Raw genomic sequence first — 25754 nt, 5'->3', positions numbered from 1 at the left:
GCCACCTGTCCATTAATACTGGAGAAAACACTGACAATGGTCTGGACTGGGAGAAGCCAGTCCTCCTGGCTGGAGACATGAAAACCATGAAATTAAATTCCAGAGCTCTGACAGAAGCCTGTATGGCTTTGTGTGGTCTCTGACAAGCTACATTTTTTTTTTTCAATTTTTAAAAAGGACTCAAAATATAAGGACTTCAATGACGGGACAGCTATTCATCTTTCCCCATCTCATAGTGCTGTGGGATAATTAAGGAATCAAAGAGACCAAGGGATTGAGGAGGATACTTATTATTTATTATTTAGGTGCACTGGCCCAGTCAGATTAACATCCAAAAAGACTGAGCCCGAACAAATAGTCTGGTTACCTTTTAAGCATTTTATGGGGCAGGGGGAGATCTGTGCAGGGGGAAGCATATTACAGAAGCGAGAAACAAAGACAGTTATTCAATTAAGACATGCATTACATCATTTCTTACTTTTCAAGGAAAAAACATGTTTTACAACTTGAGTTTATCTGCCTAGTGACCTTGCAGCTGCAGAGCTAGAGAAACAGCGTCTTCACAATGCCTGGGAAAGGGAGAGAAAAGGCTCACTGGCCACAGAAAAACAAGCAGTTAATTTTTAAAGGACTTCAGCTCTTTCTCTTCCTCAGGGGGAATTGGGTTTTCTTACATACAATGAATTTTTGCTTACACGTTCTTTAATTTCTTTTAATTCCTTTTCCAGTAGAACTGGACCTGAGGCAGCTAGGAATAGGATGCATGTTTCTGACCCTGGCCAGGATCAGAAAGAAGGAAACCTCTCCTGAGGGTCTTCAGCAGTGGAAGAGGGCAGTCAGGACAGGGACAGTGAGGAAACGTTACATCGCTAAAAAGGGCTACTTATGCGTATTCTATGCGTGGTTGAAAATAAACAGCACTGTGTCTGGAATGAATTTGTAAAGTCTTCGGTGCCTTCTAACTCTGAGTAGTCACTAGGTCTCTCGGATTTCTGAAAAGTACTAGTCAGTGACAAGAAACATCCCTGTGTTTATTTAGTTTAATCCAAATCCTATAGAACTCACCGCAGGGATGCAGAGCCATAGGGAGTGTAATATCTTGGAACCATCCTAATGCCTGATCCCTGGGGCTAGGTGGATCTGACCCCTCCCCCTCCACCCAATCTCTCTCTCTTCCATTCGCCTTCCAAATTCATTTGAGTTCAAATGTATCTGATTAAATAATCCCAGGGAAAACTGTAGAAAGCTCTAGAATTTGGGGTTCAGGTACCCTGGAATAATCCTGGATTCCTTTGTATCCATCTGCAAACGCTGGGTACACTGTGTACCCCCGTCCAGGGGTCATGCCTCGCAGCCTCTTTCTTCTAAGGAGCTAGAGGCTTCCAAGCTCATGCCCTGACCGTGTGTTACGGGCTGAATTGTGTCTCCTTCCCCTACAAATGTGTATGTTGAAATCTTTGCCCTTAATACCTCAGATGTGACTGTATTTGGGGAGAAAGTCTTTAAACAGGTAATTGAGGGTGGGCCCTAATCTAGTCTTACTGGTGTTCTTATAAGAAGAGGAGATTAGGACACAGATACGTACAAAGGGAAGACCATGTGAAGACATAGGAGAAGCCATCTGCAAGCCAAGGAGAGAGGCCTCAGAAGAAAGCATCCCTGCCAGTGACTTGATCCAGCTTCTAGAACTGTGAGGAAATGAGTTTCTGTTGTTGAAGCCAACCAGTGTATGGTTCTTTGCTATGGCAGCCCTGGCAAGCTCACACACCATGCGTCTTACTGTGTTTGTGTTGCTGTAAAGGAATACCTGAGGGGGTGGGGGTAACGTATAAAGAAAACAGATCTTTTGGCTCACGGTTTTGCAGGCTGTACAAGAAGCATGGTGCTGGCATCTGCTTCTGGTGAGGGCCTCAGGCCGCTTCCATCCACAGTGGAAGGGGTAGGGGAGCTGGAGTGGGCAGGTCACATGGAGAGAGAGGAATTAAGAGAGGGGGTGGTGCCAGGCTCTTTTTTAACAATCAGATCTTGTGGCAGCTAATATTGATAGAACGAGAACTCACTCATCACTGTGGGGATGGCACCGAGCCGTTCATGAGGGATCCACCCCTATGACCCAAACACCTCCCACCAGGCCCCACCTCCAGTATTGGGGATCAAATCTCAGCATGAGGTTTGTGGGAACAAGTGTCTCAACTATAACACCATGTCTAGGAATGTTTCGTTAAGTGGGCAAAAGGGCTGTTAACCTGAAGGGAGCATTCTGTGGAAGGAGACAAGTCTTCCCTGACCCTCCTGATCTCCACTGAGTACCCACGTGATGTTCATCTCCACGAGTGTGACGGACATTACTGGAATGTTCAGGAAGATGATATGGAAAAGTCAGCATCAGAAGTATGCATCCTGGCTGGGCACAGTGGCTCATGCCTGTAATCCCAGCACATTGGGAAGCCCAGGCAGGCAGATCACCTGAGGTCAAGGGTTCGAGACCAGCCTGGCCAACATGGTGAAACACTGTCTCTACTAATAATACAAAAATGAGCCAGGCGTGGTGGTGGGTGCCTGTAATCCCAGCTACTCAGGAGGCTGAGGCAGAAGAATCACAAACCCAGGAGGCGGAGGTTGCAGTGAGCCAAGATCCCACACTGCACTCCAGCCTGGGCGACAGAGTGAGACTGTGTCTCAAAAAAAAAAAAAAAAAAAAAAAAAAGGTGGGCACCGTGGCTCACCTGTAATCCTAGCACTTTGGGAGGCCGAGGCGGGTGGATCACGAGATCAGGGGTTCAAGACCAGCCTGGCCAAGATGGTGAAACCCCGTCTCTACTAAAAATACAAAAAAAAAAAAAAGAAATTAGCCGGGCACGGTGGCAGGTGCCTGTAATCCCAGCTACTCGGGAGGCTGAGGCAGGAGAATCACTTGAACTCGGAGGGCGGAGGTTGCAGTGAGCCGAGATCACACCACTGCACTCCAGCCTGGGTGACAGAGTGAGACTCTGTCTCAAAAAAAAAAAAAAAGAAAAGAAAAGAAACATGCATCCTATTCCTAGCTGCCTCATGTCCAGTTCTATGAGATGGGAGTAGATGAATGGCTGTCCTGGTGTTGAAGTCCTTACATTTTACTTCTCTTTAAAAATGAAAACAAAAAAAAATGTCGCTTGTCAGACCACACAAAGCCACACAGGCTTATAACAGAGCTCAGGAATCTTCTGTCCTTTCCAGAGCAGGCACAGAGACACGTGGTCTTCAGCAGAGCCTATGGGGTTCAGATGATTCACATAAGAATAGAAGTTTCAGGGCTGGACCTGGGGAGGCAGCCTGAGCCTGAGCCGGCTGTCCTGAGCCTGAGTACTCTAGCTGCCTTGTCGTCATCGCATCTGGCTGCCATCCAGCGCCAGCACACAGTAATGAGTGGCCGAGCTTCCTCTGGGAGGGAGGAAACAGTTAAAATCTTGCAGCAGCTGCAATCATCTAGGCGTGGTTCTCTTGTCTGACTTGGGCTGCACAGATCCTGGGCCAAGGGACAGAAGAAAGACAGCCTAGGAGCAGAGCCTCCCAGATGGCTGAGTTGGATCTAATGGCTCCAGGGCCACTGCCCAGGGCCACTGCTCAGCCCCCAGCCCCTCTCAGCCCAGACTCTGGGTCACCCAGCCCAGATTCTGGGTCAGCCAGCCCAGTGGAAGAAGAGGACGTGGGCTCCTCGGAGAAGCTTGGCAGGGAGACGGAGGAACAGGACAGCGACTCTGCAGAGCAGGGGGATCCTGCTGGTGAGGGGAAAGAGGTCCTGTGTGACTTCTGCCTTGATGACACCAGAAGAGTGAAGGCAGTGAAGTCCTGTCTAACCTGCATGGTGAATTACTGTGAAGAGCACTTGCAGCCGCATCAGGTGAACATCAAACTGCAAAGCCACCTGCTGACCGAGCCAGTGAAGGACCACAACTGGCGATACTGCCCTGCCCACCACAGCCCACTGTCTGCCTTCTGCTGCCCTGATCAGCAGTGCATCTGCCAGGACTGTTGCCAGGAGCACAGTGGCCACACCATAGTCTCCCTGGATGCAGCCCGCAGGGACAAGGAGGTGAGTGCTTGGGGACCATTCATCCATTTGGGAGAGGGCGGTGGGGGATGGTGTGCCCAGCTGGCTGCAGCTGCTAGGTCCACTGACGCCACTACTATGCTCTGAGCATACCTGAAAAAGACTAGCTTCAGCGTCTGCCTGCTGGGTCAGTGTAAATATACATTGCACTTGGTTTTGGAAACTGTGTGGAGTAGGTTGCTCCGTCCCCATCTCTGTCCCACTGTCTCTGTGCGATCTCTGTCTGTGTCTGTCTCTCCTCCTTCTTGCTAGTTTCCTGCTGTGCCTTATACAGCTTTTGGTGATGTGTGTTTGGGTGGAGGGTGCAGAAGTTGTGGGGGCTTAGGGCGGTGATATGTCCCTGTGGCTGGATCTGCATGGCACATCCATTGTCAATTAATGAAATAAAACCTTGGCAGAAATTCAAGAGAAAAGAACAACTCTTTCTCCCAGTTTCTCTTTTTCTCAAACAAGAGACCAGTAGAATGGGCCCCTCTGGAGATAACAGGAAATCTAAGAGCTTGAAAAGTGCTAAGATAGCAGAGAATTTGAAACTTAGGTCCAGGTATAATGTCACAGGTGGCTTAGGGATAATAAAAGTTCCTCACCAGATGGAGGTATCAGGAGAGACTAAGAAACATCATGCTCATAGCCTGTCATTTTATTTCCATCGGATAAGGAAACTGTTTCTAGAACAAGTCGTTTTTCTTTGCCTAAAGCTAGATCCTGGAGAAGTTCCTGGAAATTGGTTTGGCACCTCATATGCTTTTTTCCTTCTACTTTGACTTTCAGCGAACACTTTTAGTTTTCAGTCGGGAAGTGTAGTTGACGTTTGCCCCACATTTCCTACATTAATCATCAAGGAAGTTCCCTGTTGACACTGAGTGCAGGTGGCAGACCTATGGCCATTTCTTGGCAAATGTTCCCTGGCATCAAAGGAAAGAGGTTTCTAGGAAAGGGGGTCTACTTGCCAGGGCCCCTCCTCTCTGCCAATCCCTAGACATAGATTTTAGCTGGTGCTAGTGGGATTGTTCTGGAAACCTCTGTATTCCAGATGCCAATGAGTCACTGTTTCCGGCCCGGGAAGCCACTTGCCAAACTGTTTCCAGTGTTCCCAGGGTAGGGAGTGTCCCATCAGGAGGACAGGTAGATCAAGAAATAGATCAAAGGAAAAAGCTCCTGTAGTTGAGGAAAATAGCCTTCACTGAGTATTGCCATGTGCTGAATGCTTTTTGTGGATTTTCTCACCCAATCTTCAAATAACTATGAAGTTATCTCATATCCTCATTATCTCCACCACACTTGTCCAAGCTCATAGTCGATTAAGTCACGGAGTGAGGAATGGAAGCCTCTGGAAAGCCATCCTACTGGAGGGACATGAAGAAAGGACACAAAAATCACAATATTATCCTCTTTTTTTGCACCAAAACCTGCCACACATATACAAGAATTTTATTATTTTTAACTGGAAAAGTGATGCATGAAGATGTTAAAAAATAATCTCCACCAGCCGGGCACGGTGACTGACACCTGTAATCCCAGCACTTTGGGAGGCCGAGGCAGGCAGATCATGAGGGCAGGAGATCGAGACCATCCTGGCTAACACGGTGAAACTCTGTCTCTACTAAAAATACAAAAAATTAGCTGGGTGTGGTGGCGGGCGACTGTAGTCCCAGCTGCTAGGGAGGCTGCAGTAGGAGAATCACTTGAACCTGGGAGGCGGAGGTTGCAGTGAGCCGAGATCGTGCCACTTCACTCCAGCCTGGTGACAGAGCGAGACTCCATCTCAAATAATAATAATAATCTCCATCAAACAGTGCAATCAATTTTACTAGGAAAGGAGGGTCTCCAGTCCATCCCAGATCACCAAACCTCCGTTTTCTCCTCGAAGGCTAATACTGTCTACACTTTCTTATTTCCTTGCAGAAATGTTCTATGCCTGTACCAACAGAGATACAATATAAATTTTAAAAACAGGGCACCTAATGTATTAGAGAGATGTGGGGTAATTGCAATTCCAAGCAGGAGGAGTTGTGTAGAGCACGCGCAGAACTCTGAATTCAGACATCCTAGGAGAGAAGTGTATAAGGTAAAATGAGGACAACTGAGGAATGGGCTTGAGGGCAGTTTGGGGCTGAAAAGCAACATGGCTTTAGGTACAGTGCTAAAACCCCATTCCCCAGACCCCTCTGCTTTCTGGTCTGCTTAAAAGAGCTCTTGTCCTTTCTGTGTCCTTGTCCTGTGTCCTTGTTTTCAGCTCGGAGAGCAAGTTTACTCTGTAAGTGTAGCCACACTCTAGGTGGCTTGTCCAAATCTTAGAAGCCAAAAGGTTTCTTGCAGGGAGCCCAGGAGACCAGCCTAGAAGACACAGTACCTTGACGAGGCTAAAGCCTCCACCAGGATGATTTTGAAAGTCATCAGACATAACTAAGGCTCCGGAAGCCCAGTAGTCCCTTCAGCTAGCCCAGGCCTGCTAGAGTTACTCGCTGAAGGTCACTTTGGGTCATGCGAAGGGCTAATTACTCGGACAGGCATGCTGTGTATAGGAAACTGCAAACAGCAGGGTCAGCCATGAAGACACAAAGTGGCTGAGATCCTGCTTAGGATCCACAGAATGACTAATTTCTCAGTTAACCAAGTGAACCCTTTTTGAAGCTCCTATGGTTTCTAGCCATATCAGTGGGCAGACACTGTGTGCTTTGAGAGGTGGGTGTTCTTTGATTATCTTTTCTCTCCTGCTGAGCTTCCAGAGCCCAGCTATTTTTCATGGGGACCTCAGCACTTCCCTTTACCCCAGACCAGCATCTCCAGGCCCCTTTGTGTTTTTTTGTTTGTTTGTTTGTTTGTTTTTTGTTTTTTTTTTTTTTTGAGACGGAGTCTCGCTCTGTCACCCAGGCTGGAGTGCAGCGGTGCAATCTCGGCTCACTGCAAGCTCTGCCTCCCGGGTTCATGCCATTCTCCTGCCTCAGCCTCCCGAGTAGCTGGGACTACAGGTGCTCGCCACCACGCCCGGCTAATTTTTTTGTATATTTAATAGAGATGGGGTTTCACCGTGTTAGCCAGGATGGTCTCGATCTCCTGACCTGGTGATCCCCCTGCCTCGGCCTCCCAAAGTGCTGGGATTACAGGCGTGAGCCACCACGCCCGGCCCCCTTTGGTTTTAAGAGCAGCTGATCTTGCCTGCTGGCTGCCAAGTCTTCTCACCTTCTCTGAATCTCAGGCTTGCTATGTAGAAATGAGACTGTGTGTGTGTGTGTGTGTGTGTGTGTGTGTGTGTATGAAATCTGGACTCCTTCTATGACTGCCTTTCCTGTTTGTTCTGACCCATGAAGCAGGTATGGTTCTTTCATGTTCCTCAAGCGTATCAAATGTTACTGAGTGCTTCCTATCGCTAAGTGCTGGGCTGCACTGTCTAGCCTCCAGGAGCTTGGACTCTAATCAGGAAGCCAAGGCACATACCCTAACTCCACAGAGTGCCAAGAGGCTGGCACGGTGCAATTACTGCACCTTTGGAACCAACCCTGGGAGCGAGGTCAGTGCAGGTTCCTAAGGCAGGAAGACCTGAGCTGAGCCTTGTCCTAGATCTTTGGAGAACATTAATGCCAGGCCACGATGCTGAACCTCAGCATCAGTCCCAGAAAGTTCAGGACTGGATGCTGGCTGCAGACACAGTCTCCATGGTGAGCAAGAGCCAAGTATCTAGAGCCAAAAGTATCCACGCTCATCTGGGGAGCGGTTAACTGGCATCACTCACAGCCTGTTTGCTGGCAGCCGAAAGGTGGATGATAGGTGTATGTGGCCACTTGGGAAAGGAATTACTTGGGCCGGGCGCGGTGGCTCACGCCTGTAATCCCAGCACTTTGGCAGGCCGAGGCGGGTGGATCACCTGAGGTCAGGAGTTTGAGACCAGCCTGACCCATGGTGAAACCTTGTCTCTACTAAAAAAAAAAAATACAAAAATTAGCCTGGCACAGTAGCAGGCGCCTATAATCCCAACTACTCAGGAGGCTGAGGCAGGAGAATCGCTTGAACCTGGGAGGTGGAGGTTGCAGTGAACCGAGATCGCGCCATTGCACTCCAGCCTGGGTGACAGAGCAAGACTCCATCTCAAAAAAAAAAAAAAAGAATTTATTTCAGCCATTTTGGGGAATGCCCAGGACTCAGTATTACGTAACTTGTTTTTCTTATTCTCCCAGGCTGTAAGTATTTTGAGAGGGGGCAGTGTGTGTCCTATGTGACTGAGCTGGCCATATGTACTATGGTGAATTCTGAGCAGCTGACCGAGGCATGCAGTCAGCGTCCAGGTGGACTCTAGTTCTTCCTTCTCTAGAAAGGCTAACCCTGTGTGCTTGGAATACAAAGGAACTGGCACAGTCTGGGATTTTCTTCTCTCTTCCCACTCTCCCTGTTCTTTCTATTTTTCATCTCTAACATGACCTGGCTGCCACTCTTTGTGTGCCACCTTTGCCCTGTAGCAGAAGGAACCCTTCTGTTAGCATATTTAGGTAGTCTTGCACCAGATGAGAAGCTAAATGGCTTGAATGACTTGACAAAGCCTATATGGCCAGCAAGTGGCAGGTCCCAAAATATTTCGGACTCCAAATAGTGTGCCTTTGACACATCTGTCATTGTCTTGCTGAAGCAGGCAGAGCTCTGTGTGCCCTGCCTTCCAGAACTTTCTGTGCTCATGGGCACCACAGTCCCGCTTCTGGGCAGGGCCCACCCTGACCTGAGATGTGTGTGTGGCTGACCTCTTGGGAAACCCTGAAGCCAGTGTCTGAGGCACCCCATCATTTTCAAGGAACAGGAATAACTGGAGAAACAAGTCTTTCAAAGTGGTTCCACCTTTTGAGGTAACTGGGAGTGCCTTTTCTTGGGGTGACTCAGTCAGGAAAGTCCCCGATTATGTACTTAAGGAGTCCTTTTCTCTCCTTTTATGGTAGTCTGCAAATAGCAGAGAGAAGCCCCTCACTCTCGATGCTCCCTGGGTACCTCCCTATGGCCCCGCTGCTGCCGACTGCTTCAACACATTCTTCTGTCCCTGCTGTTTAGATGCCGTGTTGTAGGAGCCTGTTGCTAGGGTGTGTTCTGATGTGTCTTCCACCACCTTTAAACAAGCAGCTCATGTTCCTTTTCTCTCCCCTGGAATGGGTCACTGTGTAAGCCTTTTTCATAGTTCAAGATTCCAGGATTGCCCCCAAATAGGCCAGATCCACCCCCACTCCCCACTCCCAGGCATCACGTCTCAGGTATCAAGGGTGAGAGGTCACTGGGGCCCCCTCAGCTCCACTCTCAGTGACCTGGAGCCTGAGCAAACATTTCCTGCCTTCTGCAGTGTCCTGGAGAGGCGAGTCCTCTGCCTGCAGCTGCTTCCCTCCCCAGGGGGCCTGGAATTCCCCCAGTCTTCAGTGGAGAATGGAGAGACAGTTTATGCTCTCTGAGTTCTATTAGGGCATAATGACTCGCAGCTTTAAATGCAGACAGAAGCTATTAAGCAGTGAAAGCGATTCTTTTTTTTTTTTCTTTTTCTTTTTGTATATTGCCCTTGTGGAAGTAGGAAAGTGACAGGGTCTTTGAGGTTTGCAAAGGCTTAAGTGCGCCTTGGCACACCTCTTGGCAGAAGGTGTTTAGTGCATCCCAGGAGGCAAGATTGAAGCTGGGGCCAAAGCAGGCAAACCTGAGGTTTTTGGGCAGGCACTTGCCTGGGCTGGGAGGGCTGGCTCTGCCTTCGAATACAGAACATGAATGGAAAGCAGCCATGGTAGCAGGAGTAATAATGATGATGATGACGATGCTGGCACCCACTGACATTTATGGAGCTCATTAATAATGTCCCTGGTACTATACAAAGTTCTTATTGACATACGTTATCTCGTTAGTCCATTCTTTCCTAATCCTATGAAGCAAACACTTTACTGAGCCCCATCTCACAGGTGAAGAAATGGAAGTTTAGAGATATTAAGTTGTGAAATAAGAAACAGGCCAGGCACGGTGGCTCATGCCTGTAATCCCAACAGTTTGGGAGGCCAAGGCAGGCGGATCACAAGGTCAGGAGTTCCAGACCAGTCTGGCCAACATAGTGAAACCCTGTCTCTACTAAAAATACAAAAATTAACCGGGTGTGGCGGTGTGTATCTGTAATCCCAGCTACTCAGGAGGCTGAGGCAGGAGAATCGCATGAACCCGGGAGGTGGAGGTTGTAGTGAGCCAAGATTGCACCATTGCACTCCAGCCTGGACGACAGTGTGAGACTCCATCTCAAAAAACAAACAAAGAACAACAACAACAACAACAAAAACTTAGGTTTGGTCTCTGCCCCCATTTCCTGGCACCCGACAGCTCTTAGAACCCCCAGACTCTCTGAAGTGGTAAGTGTCTGAATGCCAGTGAGATGACTGGGTGGCTGAGGGGGCTCCCGAGAGCCTCAGGATGGGGGCTAGTTGCCAAAGGAGCCAACCCTATGATGAAAGGGTTTGACTTTCAGCCCCATCTCCCTGATCTCCTCCAGGGAGGGAAGTGAGGCTGAAGGTTGAGAGGATCACCAATGGCCAGTGATGTAATCAATCATGCCTACATCATGAAGCCTCCATATAAACCCAAAAGGCATCAGGCGCGGTGGTTCACACCTATAATCCCAGCATTTTGGGAGGCCGAGGTGGAGGCAGATCATTTGAGGTCAGGAGTTCAAGACCAGCCTGACCAACATGGTGAAACCCTGTCTCTACTAAAAATACAAAAAAATTAGCCAGGTGTGGTGGCACATACCTGTAGTCCCAGCTCCTCGGGAGGCTGAAGCAGGAGAATTGCTTGAACCCAGGAGACAGAGGTTGCAGTGAGTCGAGATCGCGCCACTGCACTCCAGCCTGGGAGACAGAGCGAGACTCCATCTCAAAATAAACAAAGACACAAACCCAAAGGGCTGGGCTTCCGGGAGCTTCTGGATTGCTGAAGGGGTGGAAGTCCATGGAGGGTGTGCACCCTGCACTGGAGAGGGCACGGAGGTGTCACTTCCCTCCCACATCCCTTGCCCCGTGCATCTCTTCCATCTCCAAGTAGGGAGTGTCAGAATTGAGTTACATCTTAGGACACCCAGCTGTTGTTGGAGAATGGCTTCATGTGGAAAAAAACCCACACGTTTTAGTTATGAAAGTGTTCTGTGTTGTGTGACTATAAGACAAAGAAAGTTTGTTTTTCCTATTCATAAGTAAATTTGGCCAAAGTCTCAACTGCTAAGTAAAAAAATGTAGACTTCCCACTTGGCCATCTGGCTCCAACCCTACACTCCCTGTTTGGCTCTTGTGGGGTCAGCCTAGGCTCAACTCCATTGATGAACTTGGAAACATGATTTTATCACCTGTACCTTTGAAATAATAATCATGTTTACCTATGTTGACAAAAGGAGTCAAACTCTGTAACATATTTGAAGATATTCATCCTGAGCCAAATATGAGTGACCAATGGTCTGTGACACAGCTCTCAGGAGACCCTGAGAACATGTGCCCAAGGTGGTTGGGGTACAGCCTAGTATACATTTTAGGGAGACATGAGACATCAATCAAATACATGTAAGATGTAATTTGGTTTGGTCTGGAAAGGTGGGACAACTGGAAACCAGGGCTTCCGGGTCATAGGTAGATTCAAAGATTTTCTGATTGGCAGTTGGTTGAAAGAGTCAAGTTATTGTCTAAAGACTTAGGAATGTCTGGGTTAAGATAAGAGGTGGTGGAAACCAAGGTTTTATCATGTGGGTAAAGCCTCCAGGGAGGAGGTTTTGGAGAGAACAGATTGTAAATGTTTCTAATCAGACTGAAAGAGTCTGCTGTATCAGTAATTCCAAAAGGGAGGAAGTTATAATGAGCCATGTCTGACCTCCCTTCCCATCATGGCCTGAACTGGTTTTTCAGGTTAACTTTGGAATGCCCTTTGCTGAGAGGAGGGATCCATTCAGATTGTTGGGGGTTTAGGATTTTATTTCTGGTTTACAGCTAGTATGGGTATGGCAAGGATGGTGTGGGGTAATCCACAAAATGCTTGAAATGGTGAGCAGCACGGCATCCGTGCTCACTGTATTTTCGCTGACTCATGCTGACTGCAGCCCCAGGAGGGCACGGGCTCACCGCCAACCCTTCGTGCCTCCCGGCTGGTTTCTGAGATCAGCCACAGAAGTTAAACTTCTTTCCAGGGAAGAAGGGCGGGGATGTCAGGGCTGGAGAGTGCCCGTGTCCTTCTGTGTGCATTGGGCTCCTTCCTCCTTAATTCTCTGCTTTCCACTTTTAGGCTGAACTCCAGTGCACCCAGTTAGACTTGGAGCGGAAACTCAAGTTGAATGAAAATGCCATCTCCAGGCTCCAGGCTAACCAAAAGTCTGTTCTGGTAAGACCAGCCTGGGTCAGCCAGGCCTGTGAGGGTGTGGGACGTGGTACTGCATGCCTAGCCTCCATTCCTGTAGGTTCCTTGGGGTTTCTCCACAAATGAGAATTGTAGGTACAGTTGACTACACCATGCGGTAGCCTCACCTTGATGTCAGGATTTGTTATGAAATTAGTTTAAGTTTTAAACCTGGCAAGTGATTTGCTTTTTAATAATATAAATTAGAACCAAGACTAATCCTGTAATAACAACATTCTTATTTCTACATTTGCTTATGCTGTCTTGACAGGGTGTATGTGTGTGGGGGGCTGGGAGTTTAGTCAGAGGTCCAAAAACTATACGTTATCTTGGCTTCTTCCATTATATGAGGGTGTTCTGCATGTGAGTCTCACCAGTCCTATGACCTGGCAGCTGGAAAAAAGGAGTTGAGAACTCAGGATTACTGATGGTATTTGAGAAGGCCATGGTGTGCCAGGCTAAGTAGGCAGTAAATGGTCTCCAAGTGGATTCTGAGGAGTTCTACAAATGCCTCTCATCAGTGGCAAGCCAGTAACCACCACTCAGAAGAGAATGCAAAACAGGCCGGGCACAGTGGCTCACACCTGTAATCCCAACACTTTGAGAGGCTGAAGTGGGTGGATCACTTGAGGTCAGGAGTTCGAGACCAGTCTGGCCAACACGGTGAAACCCTGACTCTACTAAAAAATACAAAAATTAGCCAGGCATGGTGGTGCACACCTGTAGTCCCAGTTACTCAGGAGGCTGAGGCAGGAGAATTGCTTGAACTCAGGAGGTGGAGGCTGCAGTGAGCTGAGTTTGCACCATTGTACTCCAGCCTGGGTAACAGAGTAAGACTCTGTTTCAAAAAAAGAGAGAATGCAAAACACCTACCCTATGGAAGTGAATCAGCATTGTCATCTTTATATCCTGAGAATAAATGATTCCATCCATCATCCATCCATCCATTCATCTACCCCTAATGCATGTATTCATTTCAACTTAATTTTCACCTCCTGGGTGTTTACAACCAACTAGCTACTGAAGGATGAAACACCTCTTTCTTACCCACAATATCTTATTAAAGGAAGAAAGAGAATTATCCCTTTAAAGCCTTATAAACCTTCAGAGATAATGGATTTCCAGGCTCAAGATAACCTGTAGAACCACATGGAGGGTCTTGTGTTTCCCAGCTCTTTAATTTTCAGACACTTTGATCCCTCCTCAGTTCTCATAAGTACATGATGACCAGGGGAGGTAGTTATTACAATAGCTACCATGCACAAGGGGCATGAAGACATGGAGAGATGACAATACTTGTCTAGGGCCATCTAGATTGATGGAATGTGAGAACCTAGAGTTGTTGCTCCCTTGACTTAAGAATGACTCAGTATATTGATAGGCATGTACACCATCCTCAAATCTTTAAACCATTACCTGCTGGCTCCTTGAATGTATTGAGGCCTCTCCTCTCTGTACTGTTTCTGCTTGTCATCATTTTCATGGTAAGTAATGCCCTTTGCACATTACATTTACATGCAAGAAAGAAGTGTTTCTCAATGGGAGGGTTTAGGAATGAGGGCCAGGCCACAGCAGAAGTCAACCTCAATCCACCAATATCATCTGACACCTCCCTTCCACTATCCTTTCTCAGGATGGCCTCAGTTGGGGCCGGGGGTGAGGATTTGGATCCTGAGTTTGTCTTTAGTCTCATCCTCTTAGCCTCATGGTATCGTGCTTCTATGAGGAACTTACAGGTCATAATTGTAGACAGGATTCTGCTCCTTTCCCACAACACCCTCATGCTGGTTCCCATGCTGTGTCCTGCTCCTGCTTTCTGGAGGTCATCGGGAGCGGGCAGTACAGGCAGGGAGCACTCTGTGGCCTCTGTGACTCCTAGAGCCTGGCTACCTGGAGCCTGAGTGGGCATGAAGGGTGAGTAAGCCGGGGAACTAGGACACGTTAGCTAATGCAGAGCCTGGATCAAACACCATCACCACCATTTGCCCCCGCTCCCAAATGGTTATAAGCAAAACTCTCCTGTCTTCTGAGGTAGATTTCTTCATCATTACTTCTTTGCCATATGGAAATGTAATTTGGCTTTTAGATTTAAATCTAGTAATGATTAATATATCAGAATTTACAGTGTTTGCAATGTCAAGGAGGCAACACCTGTAAACAGTTGGTTCAGGAATTGCTGGGAGTCTTGGCCTCTTTCCCTCTTGGTCGCCTGCTCAGCAGCAGCCTGTGTATTTATAGTCCATTATGGGCATAGGATGTTACCCTAACTGGTGCCCACAGTGAACAAGGGGCTAAGCCCTGTCTCTCATCTGGTCTTGGGAGGGCTTCTGTTTAATGGGCTGAACTTAAAGGTCCTTCCCTGCAACCCCCACACAGCCACAGCCCATGGGCTGAAAGCTCAGCTGAACTCCCATTGTACCTCCCCAGCTCATCCTAGTGAATGTGCCAGGGCCCAGAGGGAGAGGTCAGGCTGTGCCAGCTCAGTGCTATACTGCAGGCACATGGATCCCCAACCCTGGGCCCTATTTTGAGGCAGTGTGGAATGGTGGTCAAAGGGATGGACTCCAGAGACAGACAGTCTTGGTTCAAACCTTGGCTGTGTGATCTTGGGCAAATCAGTCCATTTATCACTGTCTTAGTTTCCTTATCTAAGAAATGGAGACCCTAATAGTACCTACCTTTTAGGGTTGCTAGGAGAAAAGTGCCTGGCACATAGTAAGAACTTACTACATGTTGGTTGTTTTTATGATTATTGTTATATAATTGGAAGAGTGACCAGGCTAGCAGCAGAGGGTCCTCATTCTCAGGAGAGTGGGAAGAGGGAGAGAGGTGAAGTGTCAGAGGGCTGCAGAGCCTATACCTGGCAGAGCCCCAGGCAGCAGGTTTGCCACTTGGGGGGCCTGGGTGGGGCCCAGGTAGCTTTCCTGGTTCTCAGGTCTTCATTTCAGACAGTGCTCTGAGCCTCCCATCCACAGTCCAGAGCCCATTCTCTGCCTGCCTCCTTCTCTACTATTGTCCCCACCTGCAGTCTTTCTGAGCAGCTGGTTAAGGTGCTACTATTCCTCCTCCCAAGGGTGAGGGCCAGCTCTGGACAACAGGGCTCCGGAGGGAGCCACAAAACCAGATAGCCTCAGGTTTCCCAAATCGCCTCTCCTGCTGCCCTGGCTTCTCAACACCGTCACCTGTCTAAAAGCTTTTCTTGGTGTGGGCTGGAAGAATTTGGATAAAGTCTACCATCCCCGCTCTTCCTTAATCCTGTTACCACAGCTTCTTTGCTCCCAGCTCTGTCCAGCTACCTAACCTCAAGGAAGCCAACAGGCAACGGAAAAGTTGGCATAAAAATGAGAATGTAGGCTGGACGTAATCCCACCTGTAATAACACCTGTAATCCCAGCACTTTGGGAGGCCAAGGACGGCAGATTGCTTGAGGCCAGGAGTTTGAGACCAGCCTGGGCAACGTAGTAAGCTCCTATCTCTACAAAAAATATAAAAATTAGTTGGGCATGAAGGCATGCACCTGTGGTTTCTGCTACTTCGGAGGCTGAGGTGGAAGATCGTTTGAGCCTGGGATGTCAAAGCTGCAGTGAGCCAAGACTGTGCCACTCCAACCTGGCAACAGAGGAGACCTTGTCTAAAAAAAAAAAAAAAAAAAAAAAAAAAGAGAGAGAGAATGTAGGGAGATTGTCTGTGTCTTCCCACCATCCCCCTCCAGTAGGGATACCCCTTGCTTTCTTTCCCCTGCTTATTCTTCCCTTTGCCACCAGATTGAAGACTGATCAGAGACCATTCTCGTGGAGTGAATTGCTGAGCCCTGGCCTAAGCCAGGGCCTGAGCCAGGCAGAAGACCTATCTGGTGTCATCATTTTTTCTTCCCATCTCCCTCCAAACCTCTAGGTTCCCACTAAGCCTGGGCCCAGAATCCCATCCTTTCTGAGTCCTTTCCTTACTGTGCTCCCCTTTTTGATCTGGGTCTCATTCTCCCTCCCTCTCTCCCTCTCTCCTTCCTTGCCAGGGATGGGAGGTGCCCCTGAAGCCTCTGCCCAAGGATATCTGCTATTTGACTCACTTTGGAGCCCTGATGTTCAGAGCTGGCCCTTAACATTGGGAGGAGTGAGAGAAAACAGCACCTGGAGGGGTGCTCAGAAAGTCTCAGATGGGATAGGGCTGGAGTGCAGTGGCGCAATCTCAGCTCACTGCAAGCTCCGCTTCCTAGGTTCATGCCATTCTCCCGCCTCAGCCTCTGAGTAGCTGGGACTACAGGCGCCCGCCACCACACCCGGCTAATTTTTGTATTTTTAGTAGAGACAGGGTTTCACCATGTTAGCCAGGATGGTCTCGATCTCCTGACCTCATGATCTGCCCACCTCAGCCTCCCAAAGTGCTGAGATTACAGGCATGAGCCACCGCACCCGGCTGTCTACACCAATTCTTTTTTTTTTTTTTTTTTAAATTTATTTTTTTATTGATAATTCTTGGGTGTTTCTCACAGAGGGGGATTTGGCAGGGTCATGGGACAATAGTGGAGGGAAGGTCAGCAGATAAACAAGTGAACAAAGGTCTCTGGTTTTCCTAGGCAGAGGACCCTGCGGCCTTCCGCAGTGTTTGTGTCCCTGATTACTTGAGATTAGGGAGTGGTGATGACTCTTAACGAGCATGCTGCCTTCAAGCATCTGTTTAACAAAGCACATCTTGCACCGCCCTTAATCCATTTAACTCTGAGTGGACACAGCACATGTTTCAGAGAGCACAGGGTTGGGGGTAAGGTCACAGATCAACAGGATCCCAAAGCAGAGGAATTTTTCTTAGTGCAGAACAAAATGAAAAGTCTCCCATGTCTACTTCTTTCTACACAGACACGGCAACCATCCGATTTCTCAATCTTTTCCCCACCTTTCCCGCCTTTCTATTCCACAAAGCCGCCATTGTCATCCTGGCCCGTTCTCAATGAGCTGTTGGGCACACCTCCCAGACGGGGTGGTGGCCGGGCAGAGGGGCTCCTCACTTCCCAGTAGGGGCGGCCGGGCAGAGGCGCCCCTCACCTCCCGGACGGGGCGGCTGGCCGGGCGGGGGGGCTGACCCCCCCCCACCTCCCTCCCGGACGGGGCGGCTGGCCGGGCGGGGGGCTGACCCCCCCACCTCCCTCCCGGACGGGGCGGCTGGCCGGGCGGGGGGCTGACCCCCCCACCTCCCTCCCGGACGGGGCGGCTGGCCGGGCAGAGGGGCTCCTCACTTCCCAGTAGGGGCGGCCGGGCAGAGGCGCCCCTCACCTCCCAGATGGGGCGGCTGGCCGGGCGGAGGGCTGACCCCCCCACCTCCCTCCCGGACGGGGCGGCTGGCCGGGTAGGGGGGCTGACCCCCCCATCTCCCTCCCGGACGGGGTGGCTGGCCGGGCTGAGGGGCTCCTCACTTCCCAGTAGGGGCGGCCGGGCAGAGGCGCCCCTCACCTCCCGGACGGGGCGGCTGGCCGGGCGGGGGGCTGACCCCCCCACCTCCCTCCCGGACGGCACGGCTGGCCAGGCGGGGGGCTGACCCCCCCACCTCCCTCCCGGATGGGGCGGCTGGCCGGGCGGGGGGCTGACCCCCCCCCCCCACCTCCCTCCCGGACGGGGTGGCTGCCGGGCGGAGACGCTCCTCACTTCCCAGATGGGGTGGCTACCGGGCGGAGAGGCTCCTACCAATTCTTAAGAATACCAGAGAAGAGGAAACCTTCAGAACTTGGAAAGATGTTGTAAACATGATATTGATTGAAGGCATTCATAGAGGATGCTTACCATGCAAAAGAGTCCACATGCATGTGCCCCATCATTCAAACCCTTAATGTTTCTCACATGGGTTTTCTTTTATATTTTATTTGAATGTCACATTCTGTTCTGCATATACATGCTTGTCCTGGAATTGCTTGGGTGCCATGGTCGTCTGCACCCTAAACATTTTATGGGGATTCTGTATGTGGTAGAGACAGTATCATCTTAGACATGCATTTGGCTCTGATGGACTCAGTGGTCAGTTTAACCGGGCATAATGAAATGCTAAGAAAGCTAATTCATGCTGATTATACAAAAAAAAAAAAAAAAAGCCAAATTCTTTACCTCTTGAAATATGACTATCAAGTAGACTGAATACACACATTGCTCTGGTAGGAAAATCAATTTCGGAAACTTGACTAACAATCCCGGAGTGTCAGAGTTGTGAGGGATCTCAGAGGTCATAGAGGAATTCACTCTCTCATCAAATGGATGAGGAGACCAAGTTAATACGTAAATCCTTTTTCCAGGAACCTGGAATTCACATGAGAATAAAGGATTCCTTTTACAATAGGGAACTGCTCCCTAATATATGTGTTTCTCAAGCTGACATTTCTGTATGTTGAGTTTCTATCAAGTTGGATGCCTCACTAAGAAATGTTTGGCTGCCTTCCACCCCCACCCCCTGCCAGGTGTCGGTGTCAGAGGTCAAAGCGGTGGCTGAAATGCAGTTTGGGGAACTCCTTGCTGCTGTGAGGAAGGCCCAGGCCAATGTGATGCTCTTCTTAGAGGAGAAGGAGCAAGCTGCGCTGAGCCAGGCCAACGGTATCAAGGCCCACCTGGAGTACAGGAGTGCCGAGATGGAGAAGAGCAAGCAGGAGCTGGAGAGGATGGCGGCCATCAGCAACACTGTCCAGTTCTTGGAGGTATGGGGGTTGCGGGGGCAGAGGCATCCCACAGCTGCCCCATGAAGCACCCTCTCTTTGCTAGGCCCATGGCCATCTGTGAATGGAACTGTTTTTTGTTAAATGGTGTGCACAGGGAGCAGTGGGAACAGAGAGAAGCAGATTCTTCATTCAGCAGAGTATAGGAGGGGTAGGGAGGGAGAACTGCTCAGAGCAGGGAAGCTTGAAGCAGGTCCCGGAAGATGAGTCAGGTTCAACGTGCAGTATGTTCCAGGTAGAGGGAACAACATATGCAAAGGCAGAGAGGTTTGAGGAAGCACAGCTGATTTGGGGAGCCAAGGTACTTTAATAGGGGTGGAGCCTGGGGTACTGGGTGCAGAGTGATGAGACTGGCACGGCCAGGCAGGTGTATGGCTGGGAAGGGTTTCAGATGGGAGAATGATGGAGTCAGTGAGTATGTTTTATAAACCGCTCCAGCAGTCCACTGCATGGAGGTTTGCTTGGTAGGGATGAGACTGGAGCCTGCTGCTTTTCAGAGAGGGCTGTGGCTGGAGTAATTGAGGAGGGCTCAGAAGAGCAAATGCTTTTCATTACAATGTATCATTAGACATTAAAGGTAAGCAGTTGGAACCAGGAAATGCTTTTCATTACAATGTATCATTAGACATCAAACCGTAAGCCATTGGAACGAGATCTAAAGAACATGTAACCTTTCGAGGAAGGAACACTAGGTTGGGGGTAAACTGCAACATCCTGAATCTGTCAGAAAACAGCTCTGTTAACAGCTCTTCACATCCCTGAGTCTCAAATTTCTCATTTATCAACAAGCCCACTGGAGTAAATAATTCAGAAGGCTCCATCCAAGCTCTGATATTCTGAAATACAATTTTTTCTTGCTTGCATTTTTGAAAAAATTCTCTGCTAGTTACAAAAAACAAATGTTTATTGTGAAAAACTTGGAAAGTACAAAAAAAGAAGAAAAAAAATCCATAATCCTTACACAAGTACAACATAGTTAACTTTTGAATGAGTAAAAGAGAAAGACAGACAAAAACACCAACAAAGCGTCTGTCAGTTTCTTTGCTTTTCAGTATCAAAACACGAAGAAAATATGAATAACCATTTAATAACCATTTGGCTTCCCGCCTCACAAGTTTCCCTTAAGATCTACCCAAAGAGTATATAAATTATTTCTCTTTTCTCGTTTTGTAACTTTATTTATTTTTGTGTGTGTGTGTTGTTTTTTGAGATGGAGTCTTGCTCTGTCACCCAGGCTGGAGTGCAGTGGCACGATCTCGGCTCACTGCAACCTCCGCCTCCCGGATTCAAGCAATTCTCTGCCTCAGCCTCCCGAGTAGCTGGGATTACAGGCACCCGCCACCACACCTGGCTAATTTTTATTTTTATTTGTTTTTTTTTTTTTTTGAGACTGAGTTTCACTCTTGTTGCCCAGGCTGGAGTGCAATGGCACGATCTCTGCTCACTGCAAGCTCCACCTCCCGGGTTCAAGCGATTCTCCTGCCTCAGCCTCCTGAGTAGCTGGGATTACAAGCATGGGCCACCATGCCCGGCTAATTTTTTGTATTTTTAGTAGAGACGGGGTTTCTCCGTGTTGGTCAGGCTGGTCTTGAACTCCCAACCTTAGGTGATCTGCCCGCCTCGGCCTCCCAAAGTGTTGCGATTACAGGAGTGAGCCACCGCGCCCGGCCAATTTTTTTTGTTTTTTCGAGACGGAGTCTTGCTCTTTTCGCCCAGGCCAGAGTGCAATGGCACGATCTTGGCTCACTGAAAGCTCCACCTCCTGGGTTCACGCCATTCTCCTGCCTCAGCCTTCCAAGTAGCTGGGACTACAGGCGCCCGCCACCGCGCCCGGCTAATTTTTTGTATTTTTAGTAGAGATGGGGTTTCACCGTGTTAGCCAGAATGGTCTCGATCTCCTGACCTCGTGATCCACCCGCCTCGGCCCCACAAAGTGCTGGGATTACAGGCATGAGCCACCGTGCCTGGCCAAATTTTTTTTATTTTTAGTAGAGATGGGGTTTCACCATCTTGGCCAGGCTGGTCTCGAACTCCTGACCTCGTGATCCACCCACCTCGGCCCCCCAAAGTGCTGGGATTGCAGGCATGAGCCACTGCACCCAGCCTGTAAGTTTATTTTTAACATAAAAGACTTTAACACATATAAAATAAATTCTAGTGTATGATAACTTATTTATTGGCCGGGCACGGTGGCTCACACCTGTAATCCCAGCACTTTGGGAGGCCATGGCCGGCAGATCATGAGGTCAGGAGTTTGAGACCAGCCTGACCAACATGGTGAAACCCTGTCTCTACTAAAAATAAAAAAAATTAGCCAGGCATGGTGGTGCACACCTGTAGTCCCAGCCACTTGGGAGGCTGAGGCAGGAGAATCGCTTGAACCTAGCAGGCAAGAGGTTGCAGTGAGCCGAGATTGCGCCATTGCACTCCAGCCTGGGTGACAAAGCAAGACTATGTCTCAAAAAAAAAAAAAAAAAGATATTTATTTATTTTGGCAAAAGATAACGTTTTCCCCCAAATTTTTGGTTAGGCATTCAAAACAAGATTTATTGAATAACTTATCCGAATAACTTATCCTTTCTCCCACTGATTTAAAATGCTACTTTTGTCATGTACAGTATATAGCATTAAAATGTTGAATTACCCTTTTCTCTATCAATTCTCTGGTTTTGATTTCCATGGCTCTATCTAATCATTTTCATACAACTGTTTTCATTGCTATGTTTTCTGCTGTACCTGGTCTGCTTTTTAATGCTTCAGTTGCAGCTGAAGTTTGATACTGTGTTATATCTGAAAGCATCTTTCCTGATCACACGTTATTTCAAAACTTACATGAAACTATGTGATTATCAGTGTGAAAACACTTTCCAAATACTAAAGCAAGGTACAAGAATTACAGAAATTTATGCATTGGATGAAACTGACAAGGAAGAGGCAGCACTCCTGCCTGAGAGCTCCTCCATTTTCTACCATGGCTTGTGTTTAAATTGTCAAAAAACAAGTACTGACGGAATGAACAAAGCAAGAATGTTCTTTATTTTTTGGTCCCCAGTCTGGACTGTGTATTGGAGCTGTTCATGGCCATCTAGTACATCTTGATTTTTAAAATCCCATGTTCTCACTTGTTTTTTTTAAAATCCCACTTATTCTGAGGGTCTAGCAGCTAGAGAAGTGCTTTCTATTTTGTTAGACCCTGAGCTTGACACTTCACATGTACTTTCTTTGTGAAGGACACATTACCGTCAGCCCATTTTACAGATGCAAAAAGTGACTTAATGAGGAGAGAAGCCCGAGTTTAGAAATACAGAAACCACAGCAAGTTCTGCTGTTTCCTTTTCTGCAGGAGTACTGCAAGTTTAAGAACACTGAAGACATCACCTTCCCTAGTGTTTACGTAGGGCTGAAGGATAAACTCTCGGGCATCCGCAAAGTTATCACGGAATCCACTGTACACTTAATCCAGTTGCTGGAGAACTATAAGAAAAAGCTCCAGGAGTTTTCCAAGGAAGGTGAGACGCATTCTGGGCCATGGACTATAGTGAGTGTGTCTCTAGCAGTAGATGATAGGAAGGTGAGAGAGAGTCAGGGAAGGGAGGATGAAATCAGGGGAATGTTTCATTTTCTTTTTTTTTTCTTTTTCTGTGAGACAGTCTTGCTCTGTCACCCAGGCTGGAGTGCAATGGCGCAATCTCAGCTCACTGCAACCTCTGCCTCCCGGGTTCAAGAGATTCTTCTTCCTCAGCCTCCCTAGTAGCTGAGATTACAGGCACCTGGCTAATTTTTGTATTTTTAGTAGAGACGGGGTTTCACCATGTTGGTCAGGCTGGTCTCGAACTCCTGACCTCAAATGATCTGCCCACCTCAGCCTCCCAAAGTGCTGGGATTACAGGTGTGAGCCACCGTGCCCAGTCAAATGTCTCATTTTCAAAGCCATGCTTCAGACAGGGTATGTTACTAATGGACTCTCATCTCGATGATTTTCTTTTACAATTGAGACCCAAAGAAGGACAATTAGTCATGCTTATATTATGCGATCGGCTGGCATTTCTGTGACTAGCTTCCCAGGTTGCTGATGCCTATACTTTTAAGTTAAATCCAAGATGGTCTGGATCACTTTTTCAGTGGTTTATGCCTTACCTATGAAAGAAATGTAGTCTATTGAGCGTATTTCTGTGAAACATTACCAGGCTTCAGCCCCTTCTTTCCCCAGGAAGCCCAGGGAAGGGTGGCTGGGAAGTCCTGATTTGCAGATTCTCCTGACCACCTGGACAGGTGTGCATTCACAACTCTCTTGATTTTCTAGAGGAGTATGACATCAGAACTCAAGTGTCTGCCGTTGTTCAGCGCAAATATTGGACTTCCAAACCTGAGCCCAGCACCAGGGAACAGTTCCTCCAATGTAAGTTGTGAACGGCACCCGCTTCTCCAGTTGTTGATATCAGTGCAGTGCTTTGCTAAGTCAGAACCGCCATCTCTCATCTAGGTTTCAGGTTCTTGCAACTTCATATCTATCTCTAAATGATACATTTCTTAAAATTTAATTTAAACAATTTTTTTAACTTTTCATTTTGAAATAATATGAAACTTACAAAAATATTACAGAACTAAGACAAAGAATTCCCATATATCTTTCACTCAGTTTCTCCTAATGTTAACACATTACATAACTACAATACATTGATGAAAACCAGGGAATAACATTGCTACAATGCTATCAACTAATCTACAGAATTTATTCAGCTTTCACCAAGTCTTTCATCAATGCCCTTTTTTTCTGGCCCAAAGTCCAATCCAAGGTCACAGATGTTTCCATGTCTTCTTAGTCTCCTTCAGTCTGGATCAGTCTTTCAATCCTTGTGTTTCATGACCATAGCACTTTGAAGAGTCCTGGCTAGTTACCAAGTGATTCATTTCTATGTATGACTTGGCCAGAATTGCATAACTCATTGACCTATCATTAAGTGTTATTGACTTGGTCCATTAGCATTTTTAAAACACTGCACAGTTGACCCTTGAACAATGTAGGGGTTGGGATACCAATCCCTCGTATTGTTGAACATCCACGTGTAGCTTTTGATTCCTCAAGAACTTAACTAGTAATAGCCTTCTGTTAATTGACATAAACAGTCACTAAACACATATTTTGTATGTTTACATATATATACATGTAGACATATATATATGTATGTATGTATATTTTTTGAGACAGGGTCTCTGTTGCCCAGACTGGGGTACAGTGGCTTGATCATGGCTCACTGCAGGCTTGACCTCCCACACTCAAGCAGTCCTCCTCCCTCAGTCTCCTGAGTAGCTGGGACCACAGGCGCATGCCACCACATCTGGCTAATTAAAAAAAAAATTTTTAAACAATTGTAGAGATGGAGCCTTGCTGTGTTGCCCAGGCTGGTCTCAAACTATTGGCCTCAAGTGATTCTCCCATCTCAGCTTCCCAAAGTGTTGGCATAAGCCTCTGCACCAGTGAGAACTTTTTTAATTATGGGATTGTTTTAATAGCCTTTAATATGCTAATTCATTTGGCAAGTATATACTGAGCATCTTCTCTGAGTTAGAGAAGAATCCCATGCAAAATGTGAAGCTGATAGATTAGAGGGAGGACAAGCAGGAAACAAACACTCACATGAATATATATTATTACAAATGGAGAGGGGTGCCAAGTTTAAAACACCATGGTGCTCTGGGAGAGAGTGAGTTAGAGTCACAAAGGGCCTCTTCGAGGACATGAACTCTCAGTTGTAGCCTGAATGGATCGGTAGGATTCACCAGACTCAGAGTAGGGCGTGATCACATCTCGGAGGGAACAGGCTGTACCAAAGGCTCAAAGAGGATTGAGTGTTGAGTAGGTCTGAGGTCAGCACGGTGGAAATGTAGTAATCAAGGGAGAGAGTCAGAGACACAGGAAAGGACCAGGGACGTGGGGCCTGGTAGGCCAGGGCAAGGGGTTGCTGCTTTATCATAAGAGCAAGGGACACCATGAAAGGGTTTTAAGCTAGAATAACACGACTGGCCTCAGCCTACAGCTGGAAACAAGCAGCATGGCTCTGTTGTGGAGAAGGTCTTGAAGGGGGCAAGAGAGAACAGCGAACGACCAGTCAGAAACCCGCTGAACTAGTCTGAGTGAGATGAGTGGTGGCTTAGGTCGGGGGTAAAGCAGGGGGCTGGAGAGAAGTGGTAGAATCCGTAGGAGTTACTGCTTCCTGTGTGTGTAGTGAGGATAGGGGAAGAGGATGAGGGCAAAACAAATGTCAGAAATGACATAGAGCTTGACTTGAGCAATGGGGTGCATGAGACCCTATTATTCTTTGGGAGTGGGAGGAGAATATGAGGGCGTGTTTGAGAGTTCTTCATGCTCCATTTGATCCATTCATTCATTTTTAAGATGTTGGTCAAATATTTTAAAAAATGAATGAATGGATCAAATATGGGTATAGGAGTACCTGCTTCCCCAAACACTTGCCAACACTGGGTAGGATAATGCCAGGCATTCAATACATGTTTGTTGAATGAATGAATGAATGCATGAATGAGTAAATTAATATATTTCTTGATTCGGTTCATCAAATAATATCATCAATGTCAAGCAACTTGAGC

At 47.8% G+C, this 25754-nt stretch overlaps 1 protein-coding gene across 8 annotated transcripts in view, besides 5 other annotated features; it reads left to right on the top strand.

The window, feature by feature from the left end:
• Positions 1 to 25754, top strand: part of TRIM16 (tripartite motif containing 16) — a 56346-nt gene that overhangs the window by 29149 nt on the left and 1443 nt on the right. For 5 of the 8 annotated variants that reach the window (NM_001348121.1, NM_001348122.1, NM_001348126.1 and 2 more), the window contains 4 exons: positions 12347 to 12442; positions 18894 to 19127; positions 22489 to 22654; positions 23449 to 23544. In NM_001348121.1, the coding sequence (NP_001335050.1) occupies positions 12347 to 12442; positions 18894 to 19127; positions 22489 to 22654; positions 23449 to 23544 (592 nt within the window). Of the gene's footprint in view, positions 1 to 3216; positions 4073 to 12346; positions 12443 to 18893; positions 19128 to 22488; positions 22655 to 23448; positions 23545 to 25754 lie in introns of all 8 variants that reach the window. The other 3 variants (NM_001348120.1, NM_001348119.1, NM_006470.4) reach the window with 1 other exon arrangement.
• Positions 3305 to 4254: an enhancer, noted in NCBI's record as "H3K27ac-H3K4me1 hESC enhancer chr17:15554223-15555172 (GRCh37/hg19 assembly coordinates)". NCBI's record gives its function as "activates a minimal SCP1, AML or CMV promoter by ChIP-STARR-seq in naive H9 embryonic stem cells {active_cell/tissue: H9 hESC(naive)}" and the evidence as "EXISTENCE:reporter gene assay evidence [ECO:0000049][PMID:30033119]".
• Positions 9096 to 9185: an enhancer, noted in NCBI's record as "active region_11743". NCBI's record gives its function as "activates an Ori minimal core promoter by ATAC-STARR-seq in GM12878 lymphoblastoid cells {active_cell/tissue: GM12878}" and the evidence as "EXISTENCE:reporter gene assay evidence [ECO:0000049][PMID:35858748]".
• Positions 10000 to 10815: an enhancer, noted in NCBI's record as "H3K27ac hESC enhancer chr17:15547662-15548477 (GRCh37/hg19 assembly coordinates)". NCBI's record gives its function as "activates a minimal SCP1, AML or CMV promoter by ChIP-STARR-seq in primed H9 embryonic stem cells {active_cell/tissue: H9 hESC(primed)}" and the evidence as "EXISTENCE:reporter gene assay evidence [ECO:0000049][PMID:30033119]".
• Positions 11660 to 12246: an enhancer, noted in NCBI's record as "H3K27ac-H3K4me1 hESC enhancer chr17:15546231-15546817 (GRCh37/hg19 assembly coordinates)". NCBI's record gives its function as "activates a minimal SCP1, AML or CMV promoter by ChIP-STARR-seq in naive H9 embryonic stem cells {active_cell/tissue: H9 hESC(naive)}" and the evidence as "EXISTENCE:reporter gene assay evidence [ECO:0000049][PMID:30033119]".
• Positions 12247 to 12833: an enhancer, noted in NCBI's record as "H3K27ac-H3K4me1 hESC enhancer chr17:15545644-15546230 (GRCh37/hg19 assembly coordinates)". NCBI's record gives its function as "activates a minimal SCP1, AML or CMV promoter by ChIP-STARR-seq in naive H9 embryonic stem cells {active_cell/tissue: H9 hESC(naive)}" and the evidence as "EXISTENCE:reporter gene assay evidence [ECO:0000049][PMID:30033119]".

The sequence above is a fragment of the Homo sapiens genome, chromosome 17 (genome assembly GCF_000001405.40).
Source record: "Homo sapiens chromosome 17, GRCh38.p14 Primary Assembly".
NCBI classification, from domain to species: domain Eukaryota; kingdom Metazoa; phylum Chordata; class Mammalia; order Primates; family Hominidae; genus Homo; species Homo sapiens.
This window is presented reverse-complemented; position numbering and strand designations above follow the sequence as displayed.